The 9,923-nt window shown below is 41.4% G+C and overlaps 1 protein-coding gene across 1 annotated transcript in view, besides 1 other annotated feature; it reads right to left on the reverse strand.

Moving 5' to 3' along the window:
• WIF1 (Wnt inhibitory factor 1) overlaps positions 1 to 8,895 on the reverse strand; it is a 70,680-nt gene extending 61,785 nt beyond the window's left edge. The window contains exons 1-2 of the mRNA NM_007191.5: positions 8,634 to 8,895; positions 8,007 to 8,146 (exon numbers count right to left, since the gene is read on the reverse strand). Of these exons, the coding sequence (NP_009122.2) occupies positions 8,007 to 8,146; positions 8,634 to 8,781 (288 nt within the window). The 5' untranslated portion in view covers positions 8,782 to 8,895. The remainder of the gene's footprint in view (positions 1 to 8,006; positions 8,147 to 8,633) is intronic.
• Positions 9,056 to 9,215: a silencer, noted in NCBI's record as "silent region_4629". NCBI's record gives its function as "represses an Ori minimal core promoter by ATAC-STARR-seq in GM12878 lymphoblastoid cells {active_cell/tissue: GM12878}" and the evidence as "EXISTENCE:reporter gene assay evidence [ECO:0000049][PMID:35858748]".

Below are 9,923 nucleotides of genomic sequence, written 5' to 3' on the forward strand. Positions count from 1 at the left end.
CACACACACACACACACACACACACACACACACACACACACCATCCTGGAGCTGAGACTAATCATTGCAACTCTTTTGAAAGTTTATTAAGAAAGAAGAGCTAAATGAGGGTTGTGGAAAAACTGTTGCCGACCCAACACATACTCAACGATTTACTCAATACAAATTTGCAACATGTTGAGTTCACTCTCTCCATAGCCAAGAAGAGAGAAACTTCCCTGAGTTGTTTCTATCTTCTACTTCTTTTCCCCCAGACTCTCTCTCCATTATTTGGCCCTGACCTCCCTTCACTGGGCTTCCATTACATCTCAGATGAGATACAAAGCCCCTTATGATCACCCAGAATATATTTTCCCCTCTAAGACCTCCAAGCATTAGGACATCCTGAGCTCTTCCCTGGGAAGGCATTTTCCTCCCTTGCTGATGGGACTCATTCTTTGGGATTAATTCAAACATCACTTGCTCAGTGAGCTCAGTGAAGTAGCCCTGGCTCCCTTCCTTCCCCAGGCAGGAAGAAGAGTGGCTTCCTTTGGCCACCCAGCCAATCCTGTACTTCCTAACCTCATTTGGATGAGTGAGATTAATATTTGTTTTCTAGAGTACAAGCTCCCAGAGGGCAGGTACTGGGTTTATTTCTCTTTGTATGCTATGCACCTGGCTCTGTATTTGTTGATTGAGTGCTTGAGTCGGAGAGAAAGGCTGCACGGGAGAACAACTTGCCATCCACCAAGGTTCTATAGGAATGTAAGCAAGTTACTCACATGTGACTTTATTGAGTTGGCTAAATTACTGCAGTAGAAGAAGCCCTGAACTGATAAGGCCTCTTCCAGAGGTCCGGCAACAGGATAAGGGACATTTTTGCTGAACTCAGTCCTCAAAGTTTTTCCCTAACCACACCCATCTTATTCATCAGGGACAGTTAAGTTAAATCAGTTTGATCCAAAACAAAATGCTTTATTGGATATCATACCTTTCTGCTTCACCACAACAATTTCAAAGATTTTATTTGTGCGAGCAATTTAGAATCAGAATAAATAGGGAGGGTGCCAGCAGAGGGTTTGTTTATGTGCTTTTATACCACCGTGAAAGGAAGACACAGCAGAGTTTACATTTATGCCATGTAAATTGCCATAGAACCAGATGTGGCTTACAAGGTACCTTGTAACTCATCTCCTCTAAGCAATAAAGTCTTTTTTTTTTCCTTCTGGCAAAAGTTTGAGAAACTTACTGCTGTTTTCTATCAGCAGATACAACAGATGGCTGGCACATGCCTGCTTTGCTAAATGAAATGGGCTCTCTGCAGAATTACTCTTTGATCCCTAGTGGCATGTCTACAACACCACAATGCAAATACCACAGCATAGCAGAATCTAAACGTTAAAGGTTGAAAGCTGTGCTTTTGATATGAGTACCTCCTGAAAAAAATCATGCCCACAGTATGTAAACATACTCACATTCCCACTTTGAAACCATGGAACAGGGGTCAGAAAATGAGGCATTTCCTCCATTTGGTGACATAAAACCACCACTAAGGTATGACAGCAAACCCCAGGAGTGCAAAGGTATGAAACCACTTGGGTCATAACTACCAAAACAATCATAACTCTATTAGGAAAAAATGTAGACAGTACACATTAAGGGATTTCCATAGTAATAATAAGTGTTACCATAACTGCAGGGTTGGAAAGAAGTGTTTAAGGGTGTTTGGCAGTTCCTTTGAAGTTGGAGAGGGAATTCTTGAATTAAAATTTACCCTATTTTTTTTATTTTTTTTTGGTTTACGTCAAGGGGAGAAAGGGAAAAAAAACCACACTTTTAATATAAGTCTCTAACTCCAGTCCAACGGGAAACTTGAGAGTGCAAACTGTAGCCAATTTAATGGGACCAGTGTTACATCACATCAAACACCATATTACAGAAACAGATCAGTAGGATGATTCTGTTTTTTATAAAATTAGCAAATATGTGAGTCCATTGTCAGAGAAATGGCCTGTTTCTGTTTTCCCTTTTTTCCAGTGGTACTTTTCTCACTTTAAAGGTGAATTTGGATGATACTGAATGGAATCATTCACAAAGACACCAGTATCCAGACAAAGTTCTTAAGCCTTTGTTATATTTGATTTTTAAATTATTGTTGTTGTTACTTCTGATAGTTTTCAGTAATTCAAGAAGTTTTTTTAAATTGATAGGGAGCTACGCTAGTGTCACTAACTCATTTGTAATAAACCTTACATGTTGGAAAATGTTTCACTTGATACGCTCTCTCTTGAGCATATCTAATATTTTCTATTTTCAGTGGTTATACATAAAAACAAACACATTCCTACAGTTTAACTCAATAAAGTCAGTTATTGTACGGTATATACATGACCTCCCACATCCCCAGGGCAGCAGACAAAATTCTCCTGTTCTTTTCCTGTATCCACAGCAACACTTCGGTTTTGTTTTTAAACATGTGGAGATTCAGAAAAATGAAGGTACCCCACTGACTTTTAGTAGTTATAAGAATTCTGCACACTATACATGATAAAAAGCACACTTTAGGATCTGGACCTGTTGGTACAGATGTCTAGAGCTTGTCTAGCAATCCAGGTGTTTGGTTTGAAATTAATATTGGTTGATTATCATCACCCAGAGAATTTCTATTCCATAGACACCAATTTCACCCCAACCCTTGCCATCTATCTTAGAAATCCAGGCCCTTGGTCACAAGGAGGTTGGAAAACTAGTACAGATGGCTCGGCATAAATCCTTTGTCATTGCTAAAAAAAAAAAAAAAAAAAAAGGCAACATCAAAAGGGATGCCCTATTAACTAAGTACTAGATTCCTAGTACCTTAGCATATTTATGCAGGTGATAGAACATATTATAGTTATCAAGATCAAATCTATGTGACCTTTGTAAGTAAAGATCTATTTATATAATCTACATAAATAAAAACCTTTTGGCCTTACACCAAATTGGTTCATATGGAAATCAGTAGTGGTATCCTAATGTTCGATTCTGATTTGTCTAACAAAACTTCTCATTAAATTTTTACTTGAAAGCCATTGGGCTTAGAAAGGGTTATTTTCCAAATAAAATGTTTAATTAGTGCCTTATTTAGAAAACTAAAATTGTTGCTCATGGCCCCTGCCTGTCTCAAATTTACAGAAAAATAATAAAGCATGCCTCATTGAAAGATATCATCTATTGAAAAGTTTTATACAAGAATAAAGAGTATTTTCCATTAATTACTAAAAATCCATTAAGGCTAAGCTTTTGCAGTAGAAATTCTTTTCTCATCTAAAAGCCTTGAGAGGAGGCATGTCAGAAAATGAGTATCAGAAGGTTAAATGGAGGCAAAGTTGTCCATGAAAATGGGAATTGCAGGGAGAGGGAGAATTCAGGAAAAATGATTTCAGGCAAGAAAGATTTGGGGGGACCTCAAAAGAAATTGATGAGAATCTGATGAGCATTAATAAATTCTTTGGTCTCCATAGTTACGATGACCCATGAAAATCATTGGTGTTATCATTTTGTTGAGTGATAAGTAGTGTAAAAATGATACCAGATAATAAAGTATTTATAATACAAAACATCATACAATTTTAAACTCACACACTGTTTATACACATTTGATGTAAAATAATCTTTTAAATTACAAATGAATTCATTGTAGAAAAACCAAAACATAATAGATGAAGATGTAACTGGTGTTTACATCTTGGAAGATCAGATGTTAATTTTTTCTATATCTGCCAACATATTTTGTAATGGAATCAAACAGAATATACTATATTATACACCAGGGGTCCCCAACCCTCGGGGCACATGTCAGTACTGGTCCATGGCCTGTTAGGAACCAGGCCGCACAGCAGGAGGTGAGCAGTGGGCGAGTGTTCCCCATCACTCGCATTACCGCCTGAGCTCTGCCTCTGTTAGATCAGCAGCGGCATTAGGTTCCCATAGAACTGTGAACCCTGTTGTGAACTGCACATGTAAGGGATCTAGGTTATGCACCTTTTATGAGAATCTAATGCCTGATCATCTGTCACTGTCTCCCATCACCCTCAGATGGGACCATCTAGTTGCAGGAAAACAACCTCAGGGCTCCCACTGATTCCACATTATGGCGAGTTGTATAATTATTTCATTACATATTACAATGTAATAATAATAGAAATAAAGTGCACTATCCATGTAATGCACTTGAATCATCCTGAAACCATCCCCCATCCTGTTCATAGAAAAATTGTCTTCCACCAGGCGTGGTGGCTCACGCCTGTAATCCCAGCACTTTGGGAGGCTGAGGCGGGTGGATCACAAGGTCAGGAGTTCAAGACCAGCCTGGCCAACATGGTGAAACCCCGTCTCTACTAAAGATACAAAAACTAGCTGGGCATGGTGGCACGTGCCTGTAATCCCAGCTACTCAGGAGGCTGAGGCAGGAGAATCGTTTGAACCTGGGAGGCAGACGTTGCAGTGAGCCAAGATCACCCCACTACACTCCAGCCTGGGCGACAGAGTGAGACTCTGTCTCAAAAAAAAAAAAAAAAAAAAAAAAAAAAATTGTCTTCCGTGAAACCAGACTCTGGTGCCAAAATGGTTGGGGACCACTTTTATAAACTACTTAATTTGTATGAGACTCTTCCCATGGCCCCAAATGGATGTCTAGAATATCCTTACAACTGCTTCATTTTATTATTCTGCCACTATTGCTGGACCCTAAGTTGTATCTATTTTTTAATTTTTATAAACAGCATGATGAGGAACACTCTTGGACCTAAATTTTTATTTATATCCATGCTTATTTCCTTGGCATGAATCTCTGGATGTAAAATTGTCCAGTCAAAAAGTCTATACCCTGCCTTTTGCCATCAGAGTCTAACAGCCCTGCAAAAAGGTTTACATGCACATTAGCAGCATATGATAATGCACTATTCTCCACATACTAAAACCACTTTTAAAAGATCTGACGAAGTTGATGTGGGGAAATGAATCTCACTGTAATTTTTATTTGCATTTGTTTGAAGTGGAACACGAGATGCATTTTAAGTGGCACCAAGAACACTTTGGATTACTGTAGTGGTCCCCCACCTTTTGGGCACCAGGGACTAGTTTTGTGGAAGACATTTTTTCCATGGACCGGGCGGTGGAGGAATAATTTCTGGATGCTTCAGGCACATCATATTTATCATGCACTTTATTTCTTTTATTACTACATTGTAATATGTAATGAAATAAGCATACAACTCACCATCATGTAGAATCAGTGGGAGCCCTGAGCTTGTTTTCCTGCAACTAGACGGTCCTATATGGAGGTGATGGGAGACAGCGATAGATCATCAGGCATTTGATTCTTATAAGGAGTGTGCAGCCTAGATCCCTCGCATGTGCAATTCACAATAGGGTTCACACTCCTATGAGAATCTTATGCTGCTGCCGATCTGACAGGAGGCGGAGCTTAGTCAGTAAGGAGAGGGATGGGGAGCATCTGTCAACGCAGACAAAGCTTCAGTCACTGGCCTGCCACTCACCTCCTGCTGTGCTCCCCAGTTCCCAAAAGGCCATGGACCAGCACTGGTCTGTGGCCCAGAGGTTGGGGATCCTTCGTTACTGGACTAATAATTTATTGGAAGTAAATAACACCTTACTGCTTCTATAAGGTCTTCAATCCTGAGGTTATTTTAATGTTGTCCACATGTTGCTAAAACACTTAAATATAAAATTTAAAACTTCATTAATGAGCTATGTGTTTTGTTTATGTATTGTTGAAATGCCTAAATATTTGATATCATTTGGATGAAATAATCAGATAATGAAATGAAATTTTCATTTTCCATGTAAATGTTTTGATGTGGTTTGGCTTTAGCCATAGATACCTTTCAAAATACTAATTGGTATTGAAGTCATTTTTCCCATCTTCAGAATTTCTGTGCATTTCAAAAATTATGGTGCTGGGATCACATAACTTTAGTAAGCAAAATTAGCCATACTTAAATAATATTAAACATAAAAAAATAATATTTTAAAGCATCTTGCTGCTTGGTATTGTGTAGATTCTTCCCCCTCACCACCCTTTCCCCAGAAAGCAGATTTTATGTAGTTAGTTGTGGTAACCTATTCAAAGCCGAATGAGTAGAGAGAGAAAGGTAGCTTAATTGAGGTGCTAACATTGTCCTGCATCATTAGATCATCCACATAGGTGAGCAACACTTAAGCAGGAGAAAAAAATATTACAAACTTCCTCTTCATGCCAGTTCCACTCTCCTCCCTAATTCCCTGCAGGACATATTCCTGAGATTGTATGACATGTCAGTCCATTTTGTACTCACCAGTATGCCAATATTTGCAAACATGCATTATACTGTTAAGCAATAGGATAAAAGCAACATGGAATTTAAGCCTTTGCTTCAAATTCTATTCTTCAACAGACAAACATAAGTGAGAGAGAAAGAGATAGAGAGAGGAGGGAGGGAGAGGGGGAGAGAGAGAGAGTGCGCACGAGAGAGCTATTGGCACTTTCTGCTTTTCCTACAGTTAACCAGTTACCAAACCCTTTCAGATGGAAGGGTGCAGTTCAAACTGCCTTTTATTGATTCTTACGAACCCATAAAGGTATAGGTTAAAAAATGTCTTTTCAAAAATATAGAATTAATTGGCCACTTAGTTAATGACCATCTGATGAGCGGTCAGCCATAAGTAAACAGATTCAGCTGAAAAGGAGAAAATGAAAGGCCATTCGTTGGTTTATTACTGATTTCACAATATTCCCAACTTAATTGTTTATGAAGTATCTATGAAGAGGGACTTGTAGGGAGAAAAGGAATAATCTCCCTATAGAGCAATGGAAACCTCGATGAACCTATCTGCAAAATGGGGGTATTAACAATAGATGACTTTCCTGTTATAAACCTCAGTGAATCCAAAACCTCAATTTTTTTTAACCACATAGCAATGGAAGTGTTGAAGGTTCTAGATTTGATCTATTTCAGAAGAAGAAGAAAAAGAGAACAGACTTGAAGGGAAAAAGACAGCTAAAAAGGTCATGTCTATACCACAACAGGTAATTAGAGGGAAACAAAGTGGTTTCTCAATTCAAAATAGTTATTTTTTATAAAGTGTTTTCGGTATCACATTCTTCTTGAAAATAATCATTTAAGGAACTTTAGAATAAAAGACCGAAAAATGTGGTTTTAATTATAATTATAATGATTTTCATAGTAGACACATTCTACCAACTAATAAGCTGAAGAATGCATTGCTTACCATTTGTCCTCTAGAGTAAATTCTCCAATTGTACAAAAGAAATTAAATTTACATAAGCATTTTATTCTTTCTTTCTAAAATTAGAAGCCATAAAAATGTACAAAAGGTAACATATAAAAGATGCTAATGTGCTAAGGAATAAAAGGAATGCTTCTTCATAAAAAATAGATTCCAGTTTTCTTTTCCATATGAAAGCATTTAAAATGGTAACTTGAAAACATAGGCTGCAATATTTTATAACGTTCTTACATGACACCTTTTGGGTCTAACTTCTACCAGAAATATGCAACATTCACGTTCCAGTGAATAACATTCAACATACTGACTTTTTAAAAGTGCACAATGTCAAAAATACTTACAAACTTTAAAATTTGTTGTAAAGTATGAAGAATGTCACAAGTGATTAGAAACTACTATGCAAAAAGAGTCCTTTAAGTATGTTAAATTTTAATGTCAATGATCACAGAAACACAGTGATGTTGGTATTGGAGGTCTTTATATTTCCAGCAGCCTCAGGACACTGAGTCTTATCAAAATAATGGGCTTAGGCACAAGGCTTGTTCTTTTCTTTTGAAGATCATTAATTGATATGGCAACTTGAAATAAATGGAAATTAATTCTTTATTTGCTTTGGCAATCAGATGAGAAATTTCTCTTAATAACTGTAAAATGTACCAGGCTACACACTATACAGTACTATTTCCACCTGCCATAAGGCAGTGGAAATATTAAAGGGTAATTTTCTCAGAACTTACCTGCCCTGCAGCTTGCCAGGTAAAATTCATGGAATGGATATTGACAGGAATAGCTGGCATTCTCTGTTGTGCTTTTCTGAAATCATGTGTAAAAGGTGCCATTTTCCCCTCTGAAACAATCAGGATATCTTCTTCAAATCCTGGTTTTTAAAATAATAAAACGATCAAACCAGGTAGACTTGAAATCATCTAAATCAGAAGTTTCAAGCAAAAAGAAAACCAAAGAATTAGTGTGGGTCATTTCTGTTCACAAGCATCTGCCTTCAGTACCATCAACGCTACTAAGATTAATTTTTCTCTGTGGATGATGAGAATGATGCCAACAGACCCATGCTTTCAGGGAAAAGGGATGGACATGGAGTTAACCGACGCAAAAAAATGCCGGGTGCACCTAAAAACGCAGGGCTATAAAAATTAACAACAGCATGATCAGAACACTAGATCAGCTTTGGTTTCTTAAAAGAGAAGTTTATAAGCTTTCAGATGGAAAATATCTAATTAAAAGAGGGGAACACTCTTTTGTGGAAATTAAGTTTTAAAACACAAGAAACGCAGGTATCCCTCTTTCTTGAAGAGTGGAGAGAGGAGGACATAGGCAGGGGAAGGCGCTGGAGGCGGGGGCCTTACCTATGAGTACTCTTGCCTGGTGAGCATCGATCCATAGGTACAGGCTCTCCTCCTGCGGCGGCCCGGCCTCCGCCCGCAGTGCCAGCAGGCACAGGAGGATGCTCCAGAGCCAGAGCGCGGCGGCAGGGAAGGCGCTCCTCCGGGCCATGCTGCTCAGGACCTCCTCGCTGCCGGGAAAACTCCTCGTGCCGCACCTACGCAACCTGGCGCCGTCAGATACTCTGCTGCGCTGCAGCTCCCTCAGCCAGGGCTGTTCCCGTTTAGACGGCTGGGCGCGTCGCCTCCCGGCCTGGGTGCCAAGGAGCCTGCGAGAGCAGGAGGAGGGGGCAGGCAGGACGCGGGAGGAGGAGGGGGGGACCAGCGGGCGCGAGTCGCGCAAGAAGATGGGGCGCGGGCGGGAGTGGGGGCGGCAGAGACGTAAGACTGGCAAAGCTGGCGAGGCCAGCAGTCAGCGGGGCAAATAGAGCGAGAACAGAAGAGCGGGAAGGGCTGGCGCGAGCGAGGTGCGAGCGAGGAGTGGGGCCCGCGAGGCCTGGGCGGCCGCCACTTGGGGGCGCTGTGGGGCCCCCCCGGGGGCGGGGCCGCGAGGGACCCCCGAGGCTGCATTCACAGTGCGGTGCGCCCAGTGGAGCGCCCGCGAAGTGGGCGTGTAGGGCTGGCGGACCCGGAGAAGGGCACTCAGAGACCCCTGGGACATCACTCGCCACCTCCTCGGGCCAAGGGAGGCTTCGGGGGAGGGAAATGGGGAGAGCAGACAACGCTGGGCTTGACTGAGTGCTGATGATGGTGATGGTGATGGTGATGATGATGATGATGATGATGATGAGGTGATGACTCCTGTTCCTCCTCCGGCGCTCACTGAAGGCGCAAATTGCCCTTCGTCTCCCTTTCAGCCAGTAGGATTCCTCTCTCCGCCAACCCTATGCGCTCCGTTCTGCGATAGGCTGGCACTTTGCGCGCTCCCAAGCAGTTAAAACTCGAGGCTCGACTGTCCGATGGTGCCGATGGCAGGCGCTGGCCTTGGCTCGAGGCGCAGGGCGTCCAGCTGGTACTTGCCCGACACCCAGCATTTGGGGATTCCCGTCTGTCTCCCTGATAACCCGGCAGTGCCCGGAAGAGTGCCCTGGGCCCTGGACGATAGCTGTACCTGACCCTCCGGGGTAGGGCTCCTCTAACATCGTGGATATCTTCACGTTTGCTGATATTTTTTAAAAGTTGCTGAATTCGGCCGGGCGCGATGGCTCACGCCTGTAATCCCTGCACTTTGGGAGGCCAAGGCGGGCGGATCAC

Source organism: Homo sapiens, chromosome 12 (assembly GCF_000001405.40).
Source record: "Homo sapiens chromosome 12, GRCh38.p14 Primary Assembly".
Classification (NCBI taxonomy): Eukaryota; Metazoa; Chordata; class Mammalia; order Primates; family Hominidae; genus Homo; species Homo sapiens.